Below are 21,422 nucleotides of genomic sequence, written 5' to 3' on the forward strand. Positions count from 1 at the left end.
GGTCTGTAGTCCAGGCAAGCCTCAAATTCCAGCTCAAGTTTATTTTTAAGGATTAGTTGAGCAAGTTTGGAGTTGGAAGTGAGAGAATCGTGTTTAAAGGAAAGGGTAGGTCATCCACAGAACAGCTTTCAGTCATTACAAAAAAAAAATACTTCTTGCTTTTATATTACCATCTTCCCCCATTAGGCCTACCTGCATACTGTGCTTCATCAAATCTAAGATCACCTCACAACTATACCATTATTTTAGGCACCACTAAAAGACAGTGTATTGCTAACAAAACTATGATAAACCATTGATAATATATCCAGATTTCAGAGATGTTACAGTGCATCTTAGTTGATGAAACAAAAATATACAAAACATGAGACACAGTAAAAATGATAAGTACCACCTCATTATACCTTTTCACAAGCAAATAGTGGCCAAAGATGTGAACGGCCAGACACGGTAGCCGACATATGTAATCCCAGATACTCTGGAGGCTGAGGCAGAGGATCACTTGAGCTCAGGAGTTTGAGACCGGCTTGGGCAATATAGTAAGACCCCACAGAAAAATGTAAAGCCAGGTGTGATGGCACACACCTGTAGTTCCAGCTACTGGGGAGGCTGAGGCAGGAGGGATGGCTTGAACCCAGGAACTGGAGGATGCAGTGAGCTATGATCACACCACTGGACTCCAGCCTGGGTGATGGAGTGGGACAGTGTCTCTTTAAAAAATGTGGGCCAGGTGCAGTGGCTCGCACCTGTCATCCAAGCACTTTGGGAGGCTGAGGTGGGAGGATCACTTGAGCCTAGGAGTTAAGAGACCAGCCTGGGCAACATAGACTCCACACAAAAAATTTTTTTAATTAGCTGGGTGTGGTGGCATGCACCTATAGTCCCAGCCACATGGGAGGCTGAGGTGGAAGGATCATTTGAGCCCAGGAGATTGAAGCGGCAGTGTGTGGTGATTGTGCCCCTGCGCTCTAGCCTGGGCAACAGCGAGACCTTGTCTCAACAACAACAACAACAAAAGGCTATCTATTGTGGGTACACTGCCTATGGGGTAGTCCTGCTCCACAAGGAGCAGTTTTTAAAAAAAAAAAGTTTAAGAAGTGTTTTATGTAGCACTTTTTTCATATTTACATTTACTCACCATATGGCTTCAAAAATCATAAACATACTCAACTAAAATTACAGATCACCATTGTCCTCAATGACACAATTTTTGTATGGTGTACCTTACCTGTAATTCTATTTCCTATGGGAGGATTTAAGAGATATCTTAGGAACACTATTTAAAGGGATTTACTGAAGTGCCAACCTTGTGAATGATTTTACCTCAAATTGTTCAGTGGTAAGAAAGGTAATAAAGCATTTAGTTGTGCCTTTAAGTAGGCTAATTTTTTTTGTTTTGTTTTGAGATGGAGTCTCTCTCTGTCGCCAGGCTGGAGTGCAGTGGTGTGATCTCAGCTCACTGCAACCTTTGCCTCCCGGGTTCAAGCGATTCTCTCGCCTCAGCTTCCTGAGTAGCTGGGATTACAGGCGCATGCCACCACGTCTGGCTAATTTTTCTTTTTTTTAGTAGAGACAGGGTTTCACCATTTTGGTCAGGCTGGTCTCAAACTCCTGACCTTGTGATCTGCCCACCTCAGCCTCCCAAAGTGCTGGGATTACAGGCGTGAGCCACTGCACCCGGCCTTACCAGGCTAATTTTTAAAAACATGCGTTTTTAATTACCAGGATTTACCTGATAAAACTACTCTTTGTCAAGGTTGTAGGACTTCTGAAAAGACAGAACTAGCTTTGTTGCGTTTCACGAAGGACAGATCAGTTCGTCTGTATAGGCTATAAGCAGGTAAGTAGTGCACTCTATTGGTGAAGGATTTCTGTTGTTTTGGAAAGCCAACTATAGCTGGCTGCATGGAGGGAAATCCAAAATCCAGATGACGTGGTGTGAGTCAATGGGATGAGAAACACTGGTATTTTCTTTACAATTTCATTTTACAAAGAGCACATTAAACTAAAATTTTATGAATTATGACTTAATCTAATAGTTCAACAGCAGACTCAAGAAAAGCACAGATGTGATTCTAACAGAAGACTACTCATATAAACAGGTTTAATGCAACATGGAATGCAAAAGATTAGAACCATTAAAATATTTAATTCTTCAACTTTAAAAAATTAAATAAAATCAAAATAGGATAATGACCAGAATAGTGCCATTATAATCACATCAAAAAGCTTCCATTAACATTTTATGAATTTGGCAATCTAGTACAATACATTAAGTATTGTGTTTCACTCAATTTTGTGATACTCCATTTTTGAAAAAACTTAGAGGCTTCAGATACCCATGAAAAGAAAAAAATCAGGGTAGAAACACATAGGCTGAGGTTTGCTAATTCACTGTTTACAGAGGACCTTAGATGTCCCACTATAATTGCTCTTAGGTATTTTTAACAAATGAATAGTCATAATTCACAGAAAAGACAAGTGGTACTTTTTATCTACATAGACTATACTATATAAACTTTCAGTAAAACATTTAAATTGTTTTACTTTTAATCTTGTCAAGTAATTTTCATTTCTTCTACTTCAAAAGGTTGACCAGGTTGTTTGCCTGTATTGGGATCAACGAATGTTGGACTATACTATGTTTAGTTATAATAACTAATTTATCCACCCTGACTTAATATGTGGGAAACAATACACCCCTAAGTGTATTGAGATGTTTCTTTGAAACAAAAATATTTAATTTTATGCATGTGATAAACAGCCTTATTCAATGTATACTTTTTTTAAATGAGCAACACAGATAGCAGACATATAACTCCTTATTACCCATACTCTTGACTACCAAGAAAGGAAGCCAAACTTTTAGAAAAATACAATGCAAGAAAAGATTCAAGTTAAAAATATATTCCTTTGGTTAAAAATCATCCCCTTTATAATATTCATTTGTAATCTAAATTCACAGCATGTCCCACCAGCCCAAAGTAATCTTCTAAATGTCATTATACTTGTAGTATTACAATGTTTTTTCAGTCCAGTATTTATGGAGGTCACTCGGCTGCAGCAACAAAATATTTCAACTCTAGGAAGAGTGTAGCCTTGTAGCATTAGCCCCTTTGACAATTTTCTTACAAGATTTTTACTTTAGAAACCTCCGACACATGTAGTTTTCTTCAGATACAGTATATCCAAACTTTTTATAGAAACCAACATTTTGTGGTAGACATTCAAGGGTAATCTTGTAACAGTTCAGTTTCTTGCTTAGCAAAGTAAGGGTTGATAATAACCTGAAATTTAAAAAGGGGGTAGGGTGAGGAGATAGCATTTATTAATAAAAATTGATTCTAGTAACAATATGAATTAATGTTATAAAACTTAAGTTTCCTTAGAAACAGGTTTAGATTATGGCTTTTCCCACTGCATTCATGTAAGTTGATAAGCATTTAAATCACCAAAGCATTTTTACTTAGAGTCAAATATACTTTTATCTAGTAATCTCCAGCTCACTAATAAACAGGACAAATACAAAACTCACCCTAAGCCCTCTTTAAAAATGAAATTTAAGGCTAGGTGCAGTGACTCATACCTGTAATCCTAGCACTCTGGGAAGCCGAGGCAGGCGATCGCTAGAGCCCAGGGGTTTGACACCAGCCTGGGAAACACGGCAAAACCCCATCTCTACAAAATATAAAAATTAGTAGGGCATGATGGCACATGCCTAAAGTCGCAGCTACTCCAGAGGCTGAGGGGGGAAGATCACCTGAGCCCAGAGAGGTCAAGGCTGCGGTGAGTAGTGATTGTGCCACTGCACTCCAGCCTGGGCAACAGAGTGAGTCTCTGTCTTGAAAAAGAAAAACGAATTTTAAGATGCATGTTAACACTAAAAACTCAACCTTTAAAAAAAAAAATGACCAAAATTATTTTGTAAAAATTCTTTATTTAAATCTATTTAAACAACTTCGGAGCAGTCGACATACCCACATAAAATGAGTACATAATAGCTTTGCTCTTTAATCATTTTTAAAGCTACTTTAATATTTGTGAAGGTGTGTATCAGATTAACTCAAGATTGGTCTAATTAATATGAAGTGGAAACAAAGCAAGTCTACATCTATACAAAATTTCTTAATGAATCCAAACCCAGTATTAAAGTGTGGATCTAAGTGCCTTAGAGGATAAAAACTATAAAAGATATACAAACTTGAAGGGTCTGCCCATGTTTGAACAGACTAAAAAATCCTATTTTTAAAAAAAACAAAAGACCTTGACTGAAGTATGCCTGGCTGGTTGCAGTGGCTCATGCCTGTAATTCCAGCACTTTAGGAGGCCAAGGATCACTTGAGTCCAGAAGTTCGAGACTAGCCAAAGCAACATAGCAAAACCCTATCTCTATAAAAAATTAGCTGGGTGCAGCGGCATGCACCTGTAGTCCCAGCTACTTGGGAGGCTGAGGCGAGAGGCTCACTTGAGCCCCAGAAATTCAAGGCTGCAGTGAGCTGTGATCGTACCACTGTATACTCCAGCCTGGGCAACAGAAAGAGATCCCATCTCTTAAAAAAAAAAAAAAAAAAAAAAAAAACATAAATTATATAGACTAGAACACAAGAAATCGGTCTGTTTTGTTCACTGAGGTATTCCAAATACCTAGAATAGCATCTGGTACATAAGCAGGTATTTAATATTTGTTAATTCCTTAAAACTCAGAAGAGTTAGTGTTAAAAAGCAAGTTCTTGGGCCAGGCACAGTGGCTCCCACCTGTAATCCCAGCACTTTGGGAGGCCAAGGCAGGAGCACTGTTTGAGACCAGCCTGAGCAACATGATGAGGCCCCATCTCTACAAATTTTTAAAAATTAGCCAGGTGTGGCGTGTACCTGTAGTCCCAGCTAATTGGGGGGCTGAAGAGGATTGCTTGAGCCCAGGAGGCTGAGGCTGCAGTGAGCTGAGATTGAGCCACTGCACCTCAGCCTGGGTGACAGAGCTGTCAAAAACAGACCCTGTCTCAAAAACTAAAAATTATAATAAATAAGAACTACAAGTTCTTATAAAATGGCAATAAATCAATACCACTTATTTATATTTATTTTAAATGATTTAGATATATACAGTGAAGGCTGTTTCAGTATGTATTTCTACAACTTATGAGAATGAGAGATCACAGAATATTCTGTAATAGTTGAACATTTCCTTTGTTTTTAAATATGACAGAGAAGCTGAGGCAAATCCGATTAGCCCAAAAGTTTATCTCCTACTAGGACGAGAGCATTACTATAAAAAGTTAGTAATTTAAAGATGTTACTGTCTGTAAAGAAGTATGCTTCCAATTTTCAAACTTTAAGGCAAAATATGTATAATAATACTTTATTTCTTCATGAAATTCAGTCTAAACTATTAGAGTGAGAATAAGTTCAGAATTAATGAAGCCAAAAAGAACTTCAAACAAGTATCTTGTTAAGAAACTAAATTGGAACAAAATTTATCCAGGGTTACCTTGTTTCTGCCTACTTACAATTTGCCAAGCTGCTTTCCTCTGCATTCATCACTAACAACAACATCTTCTACTCTTCCTCTCTGAAAATATTTACAATGTTTAAAGGAGTAAGCATTTACTTTTGTTTTTAGCTAAAACGAGTTGGTAAGAATTTACTGATAATAAGTAGTATATTTTGTAAACTTGAACTTAACAGAAATCAAATGCAAAAAATATTATACAGTGAAGGCTGTTTCAGTATGTATTTCTACAACTTATGAGAAGGAGAGATCATAGAATATTCTGTAATAGCTGAACATTTCCTTTGTTTTTAAATATGACAGAGAAGCTGGGGCAAATCTGATTAGCCCAAAAGTTTGTTTCCTACTAGTATGAGAGTACTACTATTAAAAGTTAATAATTTAAAGATGTTTTTACTTATTAGAGGAAATAGTATGAGTCAAGTTGTGACCTAAACTTGTTTTGGCTATGTCCCCAACCTTCCCACCCCATTGTCTTTAAACAAATATCAGGATCAACATCACCAAAATGTAACCTTTTCATGAATATATCCATCATTCTACTCCTTGCTTACTAGCAAGTTATTTTAGATATCCAAATAAAATTAATGTCTAGTACAGAAACCCCACCGAAATTCCTAAGTGTGACAGAACACATCCCAAGTGTTCCTACCTTATTCTCATTGAATTAAGGTTTTCTCTCCCTCTTTTTTTATTTACTATTTTATGTGAGTTATTGAGGGATGAAAGGGCACTACATGCATTAGATGTATCATAATTAGAACGGAATAATCTGAACCCTTTACCATGTGGAAACAAATTTATGCTAACGTGGTATATTCAGAGTTGTTTTTTTTAAAAGAGTAACATTAGGGATTTTGTGCATTACTGCTAAGTTGTTTGGTTTCTCTATGCCTATACCAAATTGATCCACCTTACAGAACAATTTTAGCATACAATTCATACTGTTATACATTTTCTTTCTTAAAGCTCTCAGAACACACTGGGAAAAGGGATTTCTAAGAGGCACTGAAAATCAATGAGAAAACAGATTTGTCTAATGGAAACTCAAAGTCAGTTGTGCTAGAAAACAGCTGTCCATTTTATTTATAAGCAGCACATACCTTAGCACAGGAATGGATGAATTTATGTTCTATAATCAGAGTTGCCGTAGCAACAATCTGTCCTAGAGTCACATCTTCTACAACTGTAACATAATAATCCCCAGATTTCTTCATATGCTCAAAAGATTCTGTGGAAATTGGATAACAAAGTGTTACATAGTAGACATTCAATTTTATGGGGAGCCAGAAAAATATTAGGATTAGCTGACTTAATTACTAAATGTTTAAAGCTGTTTTACCATAGTAATTTACCTTCCATTTCTAAAGAAAATATTACCAAGTAGTTGAAATATCAGCAATTAGTATCAATTGGAATATAACCTACACATTCAAAATATCTGCTAGCAAAATAAAGACTAATATAGCTATTTTAGATGAACAACACTTAAAATACAAGTAAATGGCTGATGTTGCCACTTCCATGACTAATGAAAACTTCAATTTCTTCATTTACTTTAAATAGATCTCTTTAACTTTTATACTCAATAGATATTCAAATATAACCTTTGCACATTTTAACAAGAGCATGTTTACATGGCTCAATTCTAGAATTTTTAGTCTTTTGCTTTCAAAATATTTTTACAAAATATATTTTAATTTTCCCTTTGTGATGGAAAGTGTTTTGTGATAACATGACTTGCTCTTGTTTGCTTTGAGAGCACCTTGCAAGGAAGTAAAAACATATCTGTTTCCAAGTAACTTTTCCAAGTCACATAGCAAATAGGTGCAAAGATACTTCCCCTCAAATGGATTTTCAGTACTATTGCTGAAATAACATGGTTTCTCATCTAATTCATGTGCATGCAAAGAAAAATTCAGGAATAAAAATTGAGGCTAATAGTCTCTCATATTGTTAATTTCTATGGTCTCATTCCAGATAGAGATCTAAAATGGGAAAAAGAAATTCAGTGAATGAAAATAAACAATGAGAATCAGAATGATGGTCCTCATTCTCAGGAGGGTCAAATAGAATTCAATACAAAATTCCCTATTATAAGGAAATGAAGAATTGTAATTCCTCAGCTATTAAATATTACTAAATATTTAGTAATGATAATAATACTTCATTTCCTTTATAACAGGAAAAAGCAGTGGTAGAGCACTGGACAGAATTAAGGTTTTATTCCTCACCGTAGCAATAACTACCTGTGATCTTGGGCAAGTCTTTGGATCTCTCTAAATTCCTATTTTCTCCTATGTCTAAAAGAAGAGGGGCAGGGGACGGGTGGACTAACTCTTAAGATGCCTGCTAACCTTAAACTTCAATACAAATAAACCCCAAAATAAATTTAAAGCGTATAGTCTTGCTTTTTTGATTTGGTAATGAAATTTCTGTAAATAACCACAGTAAGGGAAATACTACAATAAAAAAACGAAAAACCTCTAGAGCTAACACCTAGGTCCTATGGTACAATAATTATCTAATAAAGTAGTCAGATAGTTTGCAAAAACAAAGTTACTGGTACATTTGGATTCTAGAACAACTCAGCCACATTAAACATTTGTATAAAACAGCTAATTTGTTCTTTGAATAATTTCCAGCTATTTGAACAAAAACAGAAGTGGGCACTGAACAGCTCTAAACAAAAATGAAATCATGTTTCCCTTTATTTCAGGAAAAAGAGGTTATAGTACTTACTCATAAATTGTTCAGGGCTGACAACTCCAGTCTCTGTTAGCTGACCCAATACCTTAAAAAAACCTAGTTTTGAAAAACAGATTTCAAATTACGAGAATAGCAAAAGGAAGACAGTATGAAAATAAGCAATATATTAAGCAGGTGGGCTTACAGGCAATTATTTTTTCAGAACTTTCTATAATCTTTTAATTATTAGAATAAAGTGAACCCTATTCTTCTATAATCACTACATATAACAAAAATAACAGGTTTTACCAGTGCTTCTGCCTGCATAAGATGTTTTAAATAGTGCTGACCTTAATATCCAGTATTTATAGACCCAGAACATACATTCTTCAATGTATTATATTTTACATTAAGTTCAATGCAAAGGGTGCCAGATTTTCCCAAATATGTGATTTGGTTTTACTTAAAGGTGCAACATGGCTAAATACAATATTCGTAAATTAAAGTATAAGTAACACTGTTGAGATTACACTCTTTAAAATTGTAATTTCTAGTGAATTTCATTAGTGTTACCGGAAATTGATGTGAACAGTGCACCTGGAATTTTGAAAATCTTAACTTTCCTACACTCAATAATTAGGCCAAAATTAGGCCCTTCAGGCTGTCTAGCAAAGAGATAATTGTGAAAAGGACAAAGTTGACTTTTAATTACCAAAGTTTAAGGAAGTTAACTTGGAGAATTTAGATGTTAAAAAAGAAATAACTGTATAAAAACCCTTTCAATTTATCCAAGGAAAATTATTTCCACCTTCATTCCCCAACCAGCTTCTTAAGATCCCTCCTTATGTGTCATCATACATGATAATTTAATTTTTGTTTATGAGAAATCTTTTTGGCTTAATTAGGAAGGAGTGATGTTGTATTTAAGTCATTTTAAATATTTCACAGTAATATTTGGTCTTAGCCATGACACACACTCATTGGTATTGAGTGTCCATCACTTTAAAAACTAAGTATTATACAAAAAATAGTCCAAAAGTCAAATATTTAAAAAAAATTATCTGCATCATAATGTTTAGAGAAAAATGGAAGGCTAACTCTAATTTTACACAGGATTTTGTACATTACCTCTATTTAAGTCAGCAGTACAAAGAGGCCTCAAAACCAAGCCTTCTCCAGGATGTGTTGGGGAAATGGCTGGAGAAAATGTAGCTGTATTCTGACTCCAGTCCACTTCTTTGAGTAGACTTGGGTCAAACATAGGAGTTTCATCAGGTTTCATTTTTCTAGTAAGGTCTAAAATAAAAATTTGAATATTAAGTCACTTTATTTAATAGAAGGAAAATTATGATTGTTGAGAAAGTTAATATAAATTAATGCAATTAGAAGCATTCTTTAGCACATATGCGAGATATTTTACTGCAACCCAGCCTGAATCTAACATTAAATTCCACAACTACAGATAAATAGAAAAATCATGCCTACTATCAGATAAAAAAATGGCTAAGTGACTAAATTAGTAAGTTTTAAACTATAAAATCCCATTTATTATCAAGTCTTTTTTTTTTTTTTTTTTTCAGACAGTCTCACTCTGTTGCCCAGGCTGGAGTGCAGAGGCGTGATCCCGGCTCACTGCAACCTCTGCCTTCTGGGTTCAAGTGATTCTCCTCTTTCAGCCTCCTGAGTATCTGGGATTATAGGCACGTGACACCACGCCCGGCTAATTTTTTTGTATTTTTAATAGAGACGGGATTTCGCCGTGTTAGCCAGGCTGGTCTCAAACTCCCGACCTCAGGTGATCTGCCCGCCTCGGCCTCCCAAAGTGCTGGGATTACAGGCGTGAGCCACTGCGCCCGGCTATTATCAGGTCTTTTAAAACATGTTTTTCCTCTGGGTTGGTGCTACTAAATGAATAGCTGACTTTTCATGGGCTCTTAAATTTTTTACATTATGTTCTTGGATTTTATTATTGAGCCAAGAAGGCATCTGTTTCAACAGGAAATTGCAAGGGGAAAAAAATTTTTTTTAAAAAAGTAATCTCTTAGTCTTACTTGCCAATAAAGAAAACTTTCAGCTGTGCACGGTGGCTCACACCTGTAATACCAACACTTTGGGAGGCCGAGGTGGGCAGATCACCTGAGGTCGGGAGTTCGAGACCAGCCTGACCAACATGGAGAAACCCCCATCTCTACTAAAAATACAAAATTAGTCGGGCGTGGTGGCGCATGCCTGTAATCCCAGCTACTCGGGAGGCTGAGGCAGGAGAATCGCCTCAGAACCTGGGAGGCAGAGGTTGTGGTGAGTTGAGATTGCGCCATTGCACTCCAGCCTGGGCAATGTAAGAGTGAAATTCCCTCTCAAAAAACTTACTGGGCATGTAGCCTTTTTTTTTTTTTGAGATGGAGTTTCGCTCTTATTGCCCAGGCTGGAGTGCAATGATGTGATCTTGGCTCACCACAACCTCCGCCTCCCAGGTTTAAGCAATTCTCCTGCCTCAGCCTTCTGAGTAGCTGGGATTACAGGCACCTGCCACCACGCCCAGCTAGTTTTTTTTGTATTTTTAGTAGAGACGGAGTTTCGCCATGTCAGCCAGGCTGGTCTCAAATTCCTGACCTCGGGTGATTCGCCTGCCTCAGCCTCCCAAAGTGCTGGGATTACAGGTGTGAGCCACCATGTCTAGCCACATGTAGCTTTTTTTTTTTTTTTCAATGAACCATGAATAGAAGAAAATTGATGAACAGGCTCAAATTAATTTTTTTTTTTGGCATTCTCAGAAATACTTTACCTTGGCTATGCTAGATATACACTGCAGGATTTTGTTTTCACAGCAGATTTTCTAAAAATCTGTGGTATGGACCAGGCATGGTGGCTCGTGCCTTTAATCCCAGCACTTTGAGAGGCAGAGGCAGGTAGATCACCAGAGGTCAGGAGGTCAAGACCGGCCTGACCAACATGGCGAAACCCTGTCTCTACTACAAATACAAAATTAGCCAGGTGTGGTGGTGGCCACCTGTAATCCCAGCTACTTGGGAGGCTGAGGCAGGAGAATCACTTGAACCCAGGAGGTGGAGGCTGCAGTGAGCTGAGATCACACCATTGCGTTCCAGCCTGGGCAACAAGAGTGAAACTCCGTCTCAAAAAAATTAAATTAAAATTAAACTGTATAGTGTTTCTCAGTTGCATCTAAGCAGCTTAAAAATAGCTGGTGTTTTTCATGCTATTGAAAAGTGATCATGATATTTCCCCCTCTTTTTTGAACATTTAGAAATGAGCAGGTTCTCACTAGTTGTAATGTTTTAAAACTGAGACTAAATAACAGAGAAGTAACGATAGGAAGGATGAAAAACAAATCATACAAAGCATAAAACTGGGGCCAGGGGGCTTCTGTGCAGCACAGAATTGCTAAAAGAAACAGATGCTTCCCAACAATTAAAAGTTGAGTATTCCTTATCCAAAATGCTTGGGACCAGAAATGTTTCAGGTTTTGGATTTTTTTTTTTTTTTTTTTTTTTTTTTTTTTTCAGATTTGGGGATATTTGCATATACATAATGAGATATCTTGGGGATGGGACCCAAGTCAAAATTCATTTGTGTTTCATATACATCTTATACAGATAGCACAAATATTTTACACAATATTTTAAATAATTTTGTGCATGGAAAAGTTTTTGTACATTATACCAGATGTGGAATTTTCCACTTGTGGCATCATGTTGGCCCTCAATAAAGTTTCAAATTTTGGAGTGTTTTGGATTTTTGGATTAGAGATCCAAAAAAAGCAGTCCCCAACTTATTTCTATATCCAGTTAAAGAAACCATATTTTAATGAGAGAACAATTTGCCCAATAACCTAACCCCCAATTGTTCCTTATTTCATAAGTCACAGTATGCTTTAGGGCAAATATTCTTAACTTTTCCTTAAAGATGGATAATAAGTTTCTGCCTGTATAATCCTATGTAACTATATAAGCAATGCTGCAATATACTAGTTATGGGAAGGTAGTGTGATGTGATGTAACAACAGAAGTTAACACTTGCTCAGCACTTCTTATGTGCCAGACTGTTGAAAGAGCTTTACTAATTCATTTATTTCAACCATCCTACAGGTTAGGAGTGGTTATTATCTACATTTTAACAGATGAGAAAATGTTAAGTAACTTGCCCAAGGTCACAAAATTAGCGGAGCCAGGATTTAAACCTAGGCATAGAAAGAGCATGAGCTTTGGATTCATACCTGGTGTTCAAATGTCAACTGTGTGATATGTACTACGGTAATTAAGCTTTTAGAATCTAGTTTCCTCATTTGTAAAATGGAGATGAAATTACTGGGAGAATTAAATGCATTACTGTATGCAGTCATGCACTTAGCAGTGCCTGGAATACTGCAAGTACTTAATAAGATATATGCTAGTTAGCAATAAATTTAAAATTAAAGTTTATAAATTCTTGTTCATTTTTTTTTACCTTTAATTCATGAATCAGGCACTGTGCTGGTTACAGGAACTACAAAAAGAATGACAGGCTCTTACGTTTATGTTATACCAAAAGTTAGCATTCTTGGGTAGAAAAGAACGTAGTTTATAATGTAGACTGCTGAGAGGTCCCCCCAGCCACACACACACAAAATGATTCAAATTATGCTGCATACACTATACCCAGTTCTAACAATATTAAGGAAAATATAGAAATTGTGATGATCAAGCAGTCATTTCAAATTTAACAAGTTTAATAGCCATTCAAAATAGGTTTTTTGTTTTGTTTTATTGTTTTGAGACAGGGTTTTACTCTGTTGCCCAGGCTGGAGTGCAGTGGTGCAATCATAGCTCACTGCAGCCTCAAACTCCTGGGCTCAAGTGATCCTCCTACCTCAGCTTCCCACATCAGCCTCCAGAGTAGTTGTGACTACAGGCTCATACCACCACGCCTGGCTAATTTTTGTATTTTTAGTAGAGATGGGGCTTTGCCATGTTGGAAAGGCTGGTCTTGAACTCCTGACCTCAAGTGATCCTCCAGCCTCAGCCTCCCAAAGTTCTGGAATTACAAGTGTGAACCAGCATGCTCAGCCAAAACAAGTTTTTAATAGATGAAATTGAGTCCACGTGTTTTAGTGTTTTGTCTAAATTGGACCCTTGAGGTTTTTGTGTGTAATCTCATCTGAATGGTAGGTAGCAACATTGTTTTTCAGGTATGTAGATAAACAGGCTAAGTATTAATAAAGTGAAATGTGTACAGTATTAAAAATGTAAATTCCTCGAGGCAGCACACTATTTAAACATTTTGGTCTTGCTATTAAACATATAGTTGTAAATACAAAGTTCAAAGAAAACTCAAAAGAGAATTTAAATCAACCTTAACCACATTTAACTAGATTCCTTTTTCCTATAAAGTTGTCTGTGTTTACAATAAAAATGTGGTCTAGAAAACATGAAAAATAGGGTTAATAATTTTCATGAGAGGGAAGAAGTATACAGGAAAACAACTAGGATTATGAAGCCCTTAAATAATGAATTTTAACCAGGAAATACTAATATTTTCTTGTACTTTTCTTTGATGAGACAGTCCTTTTCCACGAATGATCATAAAAATAAATAATATTGGCTAACACTTATTGAAAACTTTCTATATGTTAACTCTTAAAAATACAATGAACGATGTATCATTATTATCCCAATTTTACAGATAAGGAAGCAGGCACAGTAACTTGCTCAAGGTTAGAGTGCCAATAAGAACAGAGTGAGGATTCAAAATGAGGCAACAGGGCCAGCTTCAGAAGCCCCTGACCTGTGCCGTTACACAGGGCCCTGCACTTAAGTTTGATACCCTGCTGCCACTGTTTTGAAGTTCTTAATTTTTTAACAAGGAACCCTGCATTTTAATTTGGATTACCACAGATTACGTAGCCAGTCCTGCTAGGTAGTATGACTTCAGACTCTGCTCTTAACCATTACACTGAAGATGCACTAGAGTAGATAAATTCCCTATCTTACTGTTGTACAAGGGTTAAAAATTAAGTCATAAGCAGCACTTAGAACCTACATTTGGAAAATGGGAATCAGACTAGTCAAAATACATTAAACAAAGCATTACAGATTGAAATAAGAATCTATTAACCAGGCAATCAGAAATTAACATCAAAAATTTTTTTATGAGCTATTCTACAAAACAGAGCCATACTGAAGGCCCACTTTAGCTCACTCTGTCCTCAAACCGTAAAATTCTGCTGGTGCCCAACTAAGGTACTGGGCAAAGTGAAGCAAGATATGACTTGAAACCTGGTTCCAAGGGGGTTTAGAACATAATTAAATAAGTAATTTTATATAAATAATCTTTTAGCATCTTCAGGTGCCCAGATATTGCAAAACTAGGAAATTTCTGCGAATAAAATTGCACAGTTGTGTGAAGCGGAATCTCATCATATCATTAGGTTCTTTAAAGTTTTTAGATGAACTTTAAACACTAATCCTCCTTAAGTATTCCTCAGAACCTTTTCTGATTAACTGCTAAATTAGCAGGCGTTTAGAAGACCCGTTTAAGCCTAACCCTAGCCCAATAATGCCTAGTGAATGAATAACGAATAAGACTTACCTGTAGGTCACATTTCAGAAAATCCAGAAGGACAAAAAAAAAAAAAAAAAAAAAAATTCCCAAACTGCCACAATATCGCGGAAAGCATACACCAAATTCATTTTTACTAGTCATCACATCAGTTGAATATTTTTTCACTCAATTGAATATTTTTTAAACAAAACTTCAACTATTTGGCGTCTGAGCCTCTGTATCAGGTTGGAATACGAATGGGGAGAGAGGCTGCTGCTAGAAGCAACCAACGGAGAGCAACAAGTAATAGACACCGGAGATGAAGATTTTAAAAGTCGATCTACAAATTTTAAAAAATACAATCTAAGGCCAAATCTAAACCAGCCTATGTATTTCTCAAGAGCTCCTGGGGAACCTTCTAAGTACAGGTGAATGGGGGAGGGGCGGACTTCGGATTCCTTTATATTCATTTTATAACAATTTCGATAACAAGAATCCATTCTGAATCTATTCCGTTAAAGATTTTTAACACACCTGGCCATATTTATTAAATTGTGTAACTGCATGAATGTTCAAAAGTATTTTCTGATAGTTTGACCTTTACAATCTAGGCGTTATTCCCAGTCTACCGATGAGGAAGCTGGAGCACCTGGAACTCCCAAGACTTGCCCCTTAGGTAACACAGCAAGTAAGTGACTTGGGGCTAGAATCCTCGTTTTCGCATCTTGAGCTCGATTACCATCCTCAACAGACCCCAATCTTTACATCATCATACCATACAGCTAGCGCTCTCTCCCCTATTTAGCAAATCCTGCCTAAATTAATTTCTTAAGATCCATTCTAGGATTCGTTCATGAGGGATTATCCTAACAAAACGAATCCTATAATCGCCCGTTCAATTTTGTATGAAAATTTTAAATTAGTTTGGCTTACATAAACATCAGCTCCCGCAACAGAAATCACAGTACAGTACTCGGTATTTCTAGGGGTAGGAGCCTAGGAAAAAGAGACAAAGAATGTCCCTCTGTACCCTGGGGAAAGCGCCGACCTACTCGGTGCGGAGGTGGTCTTCGGAGCAGCTGCCTCAATGGCTCCGACCACCGTGGGATGCGCCCGGGAATGGGAGAAGAGAAGGGGCCTGGGACGTTCGTGCCCATTCAAAACCGATGGCTGCAGAGAGCGCGACCAACTGTCTCATTTCCCACGCCAAAGTCTGGGGAGCGAAGTTCCGACCCCAGTCCCAGTTCCAGCCCTGCCAGGCCAAGACCAGCGTATGGCCGGACCGCTGGCCATCATCCTTAACCTCTGCTCCAGGCGCGCGTGCGTTCAACTTCCTGGGAACCGCGCTCCACACCATGTGCACCCAGCTGGCGAGGATTAACGCCCAGCTCCTCCACACAACACCCCCGGGGGCCTGGCCGGGGCACCAGACACACCTGTTAGATAAACCTGAGGGCAGGCCCGCCCCAGCCCCCAGGACACACGGTCCTGCTCTCGCGCCCCGGCCCCGGTCCCTCCTCACCCGTAGAGGCCCTGCGGTCGGCGCTCCTAGCCAGGCGCGTCGGACTCTCCCCCACCAGTGTGCACAGCACCGGATCCGGATCCGGCTTCAGCGCCAGCCCCACCTCCTCCTCCACCGCCCGCGCCACAGTTGGGAACCGCGGCCCAGACGTGGCAGCGCCAACGCCTCCACCTCGCCTCTGCCCCCTCACGCAGGGCCGCGCGCAGGCGAGCGGAGGCGGAGGCCAAGGCGCCACCCGCCCAGGCCCGGAGAGCGAGGGGCGGGGCCCGGAGAGCGGGGGCGGGACCAGGAGGGCGAGGGGCGGGGCTCGGAGAGCGGGGGCGGGACCAGGAGGGCGAGGGGCGGGGCCTGAGGCTCGAGTCGCGGCGCCTGGGGCGGTGGCCGCCGGACCAAAGCTGGCCTCTCCCGGCTCCTCCTCCTCGCTCCCCAAGGCCTTTCCCACCGCGTCATTGTCTCGGTTTATCTGCAGATACGTCTACCTAGCAGTCAGCCCAGCAGCGTAAGTGGTGACCAGTGTGGGCCTCTTTGATCCTGAGACCGAAGGCTCGGCCACTGGCCCTCTCCATTTGTTCCTTGTTGCCCTCCCTTCATGATTCAATCCATTAATTAGGACTTTTCCTACCAGCTGGCAGTTCAGAGCTCCGCATCCCCAGGCCTCTGAGTCACAGTTCCTGCCTTCATGAAACTAGGAGTTGGGGCCACTGCATTCTACTCCTTCGGGACTATTGTTTCATTTCTCAGTCCCTCAAACCCTTTATTGGATGAACATGGGGTTAGGACAGCGGTTCTCCACTGCAACAGTTTTGCCTCCCAGGAGACATTTGGCAATGTATGAATCATTTTCAGCCTCTCATCTGGGGTGAGATGTCATTGGAATCTACAGATGGTGGAGGGCACAGGTGAGTAGAGGCCGGGAATACTGCTTCACGCCTTACAGTGCGCAGGACAGCGCCGCACAACAAAGAATTACCTGGCCTGAAATGTCTGGAGTGCTGAGGTTTAGAAACCTTTCGTTAGGAGAAGAAAAGTGACTTTTTTCAGAGCCCCATTTCTGAAGTGTCTTACCTAAGTAGCACTTTGTCCCTATTTTAACAGATGAGGAAACAGAGGTTCAGAGATGTTACATAATTTACAAAAGTCTCATAGCTAGTAGCTCCCCTTCCTTGCCTTGTACCATAATTTTCAATTTATTGAAATCGCAAAGTATTTTATTCTTAAGCAATAGTATTCAAAGAACCCCATAGATCATATACCAGAAATCATATTTTTTGCTCATTTGTGAGATTTAAATTTCAGTTAACTCCTTTACTGATTTATGCTTTCTCAGAACTTCAAACATCAGTGAGTTGATGGCATCCATATCTCTGTTTTTATCTCTGTTTTTACACCCATACATACAAAAGAATATATAGGGCATGAGCAGAATGTGGTGGTATGCATCCGTAGTCCCAGCTACTCCAGAGGCTGAGGCAGGAGGATCACTTGAGCCCACAAGGTTGAATCCAGCCTGGACAATAGAGCAAGACCCTGTCTCTAAAAAAAAAAAAAAAAAAAAAAAGAATATGTAAGGCATAAATAAAATAAACACTCATGGCTGGGCGTAGTGGCTCACACCTGTAATTCCAACATTTTGGGAGGCCTAAGCAAGTGGATCTCTTGAGCCCAGGAGTTTGAGACCAGTCTGTGCAACATGGTAAAAACCTGTCTCTACAAAAAAAAATACTGAAAATTAGGCAGGCATGGTGGCATGTGCCTGTAGTCCCATCTACTCAGGAGGCTGAGGTAGGAGGATAACCTGAGCCCGGGAGGCAGAGGCTGCTGTGAGCCATGATTGCAAGACTGCACTCCAGTCTGGGCCACAGAGCAAGACCCTGTCTCAAAACAAACAAAAATTTAAAAAAATGCTTATGTACACACCACTAATCTTAAGCATATGGCCCTCCCCGTTTTTCTTATCAGACTTCTGGTCAAATGTTTTCAGTGAGTTTATCCTGTACAACAAACTGCTGTATGTTTTATAAATTAGCAAAAAGTGAAACATAAGCAATTCTAAAATCACAGAACACAAGGCTTGTAAGAGGTACCCCCAGAGATCTCATACTTTCCACATATACTCCTCCTTACCCACATTGGGCCATAAGAACCCAATTTCTCCTTAATAGACAAGGTCGATTACTCTGGCCAGTACAGTTAACCCCTTTCTTTGCCTGTAGGTTCACTTGGCAATGAGGAGCCCAAGATAACCAGGAGACAGTCTCAACTTCTGGTTTAATGGAACCATTGGTATGTCCTTTGGTTGATTTTTATTTATTTTTCTAGATTCTTAGAAGAAATGCTGCATTCACCATTATTCTTTTTTTTTTTTTTTTTTTTTTTTTTTTTTTGAGAGGGAGTCTTACTCTGTAGCCCAGGCTGGAGTGCAGTGGTGTGATCTCAGCTCACTGCAACCTCCACCTCCTGGGTTCCAATTAAGCAATTCTCCTGCCTCAGCCTCTTGAGTAGCTGGAATTACAGGTGCGCACTACCACACCCAGCTAATTTTTGTATTTTTAGTAGAGATGGGGTTTCACCATGTTGGCCAGGCTGGTCTTGAACTCCTGACCTTGTGATCCACCCACCTGGGCCTCCCAAAGTGCTAAGATTACAGGTGTGAGCCACCGCGTCTGACCAACAACAATATTCTCATTGGCACAAATAAGGCTATTACGTGGATAAACATAGATGTCAGTGATTGAGTTGAGAAGTGATTCAGGAACGTTGGCCTGAATGAGAAGTTTAAGAATACCTTGGCCGGGTACCATGGTTAACACCTGTAATCCCAGCACTTTGGGAGGCCAAGGCGGGCAGATCACGAGGTCAGGAGTTCAAGACCAGCCTGGCCAACATAGTGAAACTCTGTCTCTCAGAAAAAATACAAAAATTAGCTGGTGTGCTGGCACATGCCTGTAGTCCCAGCTACTCGGGAGGCTGAGACAGGAGAATCACTTGAAACCTGGGAGGCAGAGATTGCAGTGAGCCGAGATTGTGCCATTGCACTCCAGCCTGGGCAACAGCGAGACTCCATCCCCCCCCAAAAAAGAATACCTTAGCCAATTTATTTCATTTATATTTTCCTCTTAATGTTTGCACAGGAATTAGATATAACAATCCATGTCTAATTAAGTATAGAAGAGTTGTTTCACTAGGTATTACAAGTTCCAAGTGATAAGATATTATAATTTTAAATTAGCCACATTGTTTCTTTCTTAGTGGTATATAAATTAATGGCGTGTCATACAATGGATGTGTCTAAGATTGGATGAAATATGGTACAGGCCAGGCACGGTGGCTCACGCCTGTACCATTCCAGCACTTTGGGAGGCTGAGGTGGGTGGATCATGAGGTCAAGAGATCGAGACCATCCTGGCCAACATGGTAAAATCCTGTCTCTACTAAAAATGCAAAAATTAGCTGGGCGTAGTGGCACACGCCTGTAGTCCCAGCTACTCAGGAGGCTGAGGCAGGAGAATTACTGGAACCCAGGAGGTGGAGGTTTAAGTGAGCCGAGATTGCACCACTGCACTCCAGCCTGGCAACAGAGCGAGACTCTGTCTCAAAAAAAAAAAAAAGGTAATATGGTACATACTTAATATGGTCTTAAAGTTATAATTCTCTGTTATGGTTTTAATGTCCCCTCCAAAACTCACATTGAGATTTAATTGCCATGGTACAGTATTAAGAGGGTGAGGCCCTTAAGGGGTGATTAGGTCATGAGAGCTCTTCCCTCACATAATATGGATTAATGCTGTTACCGTGGGAGTGGTTTCCTGATAAAATGGATGAGTTCAGCTCCTCCCTGTCTTTCTTTCTCTTACACTACTCCTTCCATGTGATGCCTTCAGCCATGGGGTGACCCTCAACAGATACTGGTACTATGCTCTTGCACTTCCCAGCCTCCAGAACTGTGAGCCAAATATGCTTCTTTTTATTATGAATTACCCAGTCTTGGTATTCTATTACAGTAGTAGAAAATAGGCGAAGACATTCTCTAAACATGTTTATAAATTATTTCATTTGATCCTCATATGAATCCTGTGACATAAGGTGGGCACTATTATTTCCATAATGCAAGTGAAACTCAAGCAATTTTCCTTTTCTTTTTGAAACAAGTTCTCACTCTGTTGCCCAGGCTGGAATATGGCTACACAATCTCAGCTCACTGCAACCTCTGCCTTCTGGGCTCAAGCAATCCTCCCACCTCAGCCTCCCGAGTTACTGGGACTACAGGCGTGCAGCACCACACCCAGCTAATTTTTTTGTATCTTTATTAAAGATGAGGTTTCACCACATTGCTCAGGCTAGTCTCGAACTCATGACTAGCCATGAGTTCAAGCCATCATGTGCCCACCTCAGCCTCCCAACTGCTGGGATGATAGGCATGAGCCACTGTACCCAGCTATAATTTTTCTTTTTTTTATGAGTGAGGCTGTGTGCCTGTTCTCATGCTGCTAATAAAGACATACCTGAAACTGGGTAATTTATAAAGAAAAAGAGGTGCTCATGCCTGTAATCCCAGCACTTTGGGAGGCCGAGGCAGGTGGATTACCTGGGGTCAGGAGTTCAGGACCAGCCTGGCCAACACAGTGAAACCCCATCTCTACTAAAAAAATACAAAAATTCACCGGGCGTGGTGGTGGGTGCCTGTAATCCCAGCTACTCGGGAGGCTGAGACAGGAGAATTGCTTGAACCTGGGAGGCGGAAGTTGCAGTGAGCCAGGATCATGCCATTGCACTCCAGGCTGGGTGACAAGACTGAAATTCCGTCAAAAAAAAAAAAAAAAAAGTGAGCTGGGATCATGCCATTGCACTCCAGCCTGGGCAACAAGAGTGAAATTCCATCAAAAAAAAGAAAGAGGGGCCGGGTGCGGTGGCTCATGCCTGTAATCCCAGCACTTTGGGAGTCTGAGGCGGGTGGATCACAAGGTCAGGAGATCGAGACCATCCTGGCTAACACAGTGAAACCCCGTCTGTACTAAAAATACAAAAAATTAGCCAGGCGTGGTGGTGGGTGCCTGTAGTCCCAGCTACTCGGGAGGCTGAGGCAAGAGAATGGCGTGGACCCGGGAGGCAGAGCTTGCAGTGAGAGGAGATCGCGCCACTGCACTCCAGCCTGGGCAACAGAGCGAG

At 39.8% G+C, this 21,422-nt stretch overlaps 1 protein-coding gene and 1 long non-coding RNA gene across 6 annotated transcripts in view, besides 7 other annotated features; one reads left to right on the forward strand and one right to left on the reverse strand.

Moving 5' to 3' along the window:
• On the reverse strand, positions 22 to 16,436 carry GNPNAT1 (glucosamine-phosphate N-acetyltransferase 1). Of its 4 annotated transcripts, none has more exons than XM_005268012.4 (7): positions 16,257 to 16,436; positions 12,662 to 12,700; positions 9,326 to 9,493; positions 8,252 to 8,314; positions 6,613 to 6,740; positions 5,508 to 5,569; positions 22 to 3,287 (listed from the first exon to the last, which is right to left on the reverse strand). In XM_005268012.4, exons 3-7 carry the CDS (start codon positions 9,477 to 9,479, stop codon positions 3,140 to 3,142), a joined length of 555 nt encoding a protein of 184 aa, XP_005268069.1. In that variant the 5' UTR covers positions 9,480 to 9,493; positions 12,662 to 12,700; positions 16,257 to 16,436; the 3' UTR covers positions 22 to 3,139. The 4 variants fall into 4 exon arrangements, with proteins under 4 accessions (XP_005268069.1, XP_047287661.1, NP_932332.1 ...); XM_047431705.1 differs by having other exon boundaries at positions 15,787 to 16,317; NM_198066.4 differs by lacking the exon at positions 12,662 to 12,700.
• Positions 15,663 to 15,752: an enhancer, noted in NCBI's record as "active region_8396". NCBI's record gives its function as "activates an Ori minimal core promoter by ATAC-STARR-seq in GM12878 lymphoblastoid cells {active_cell/tissue: GM12878}" and the evidence as "EXISTENCE:reporter gene assay evidence [ECO:0000049][PMID:35858748]".
• Positions 15,833 to 15,922: an enhancer, noted in NCBI's record as "active region_8397". NCBI's record gives its function as "activates an Ori minimal core promoter by ATAC-STARR-seq in GM12878 lymphoblastoid cells {active_cell/tissue: GM12878}" and the evidence as "EXISTENCE:reporter gene assay evidence [ECO:0000049][PMID:35858748]".
• Positions 16,030 to 16,543: an enhancer, noted in NCBI's record as "H3K27ac-H3K4me1 hESC enhancer chr14:53257919-53258432 (GRCh37/hg19 assembly coordinates)". NCBI's record gives its function as "activates a minimal SCP1, AML or CMV promoter by ChIP-STARR-seq in naive H9 embryonic stem cells {active_cell/tissue: H9 hESC(naive)}" and the evidence as "EXISTENCE:reporter gene assay evidence [ECO:0000049][PMID:30033119]".
• Positions 16,030 to 17,058: a biological region, named in NCBI's record as "H3K27ac-H3K4me1 hESC enhancers GRCh37_chr14:53257919-53258432 and GRCh37_chr14:53258433-53258947".
• Positions 16,233 to 16,312: a silencer, noted in NCBI's record as "silent region_5749". NCBI's record gives its function as "represses an Ori minimal core promoter by ATAC-STARR-seq in GM12878 lymphoblastoid cells {active_cell/tissue: GM12878}" and the evidence as "EXISTENCE:reporter gene assay evidence [ECO:0000049][PMID:35858748]".
• Positions 16,413 to 16,632: a silencer, noted in NCBI's record as "silent region_5750". NCBI's record gives its function as "represses an Ori minimal core promoter by ATAC-STARR-seq in GM12878 lymphoblastoid cells {active_cell/tissue: GM12878}" and the evidence as "EXISTENCE:reporter gene assay evidence [ECO:0000049][PMID:35858748]".
• Positions 16,544 to 17,058: an enhancer, noted in NCBI's record as "H3K27ac-H3K4me1 hESC enhancer chr14:53258433-53258947 (GRCh37/hg19 assembly coordinates)". NCBI's record gives its function as "activates a minimal SCP1, AML or CMV promoter by ChIP-STARR-seq in primed H9 embryonic stem cells {active_cell/tissue: H9 hESC(primed)}" and the evidence as "EXISTENCE:reporter gene assay evidence [ECO:0000049][PMID:30033119]".
• Positions 16,617 to 21,422, forward strand: part of LOC105370500 (uncharacterized) — a 138,447-nt gene continuing 133,641 nt past the window's right edge. For both annotated transcript variants that reach the window (XR_943867.3, XR_007064167.1), the window contains exon 1: positions 16,617 to 17,155. This is a non-coding gene — a long non-coding RNA (uncharacterized LOC105370500). The remainder of the gene's footprint in view (positions 17,156 to 21,422) is intronic.

This window comes from Homo sapiens, chromosome 14, assembly GCF_000001405.40.
Source record: "Homo sapiens chromosome 14, GRCh38.p14 Primary Assembly".
In the NCBI taxonomy this organism is placed as follows: domain Eukaryota; kingdom Metazoa; phylum Chordata; class Mammalia; order Primates; family Hominidae; genus Homo; species Homo sapiens.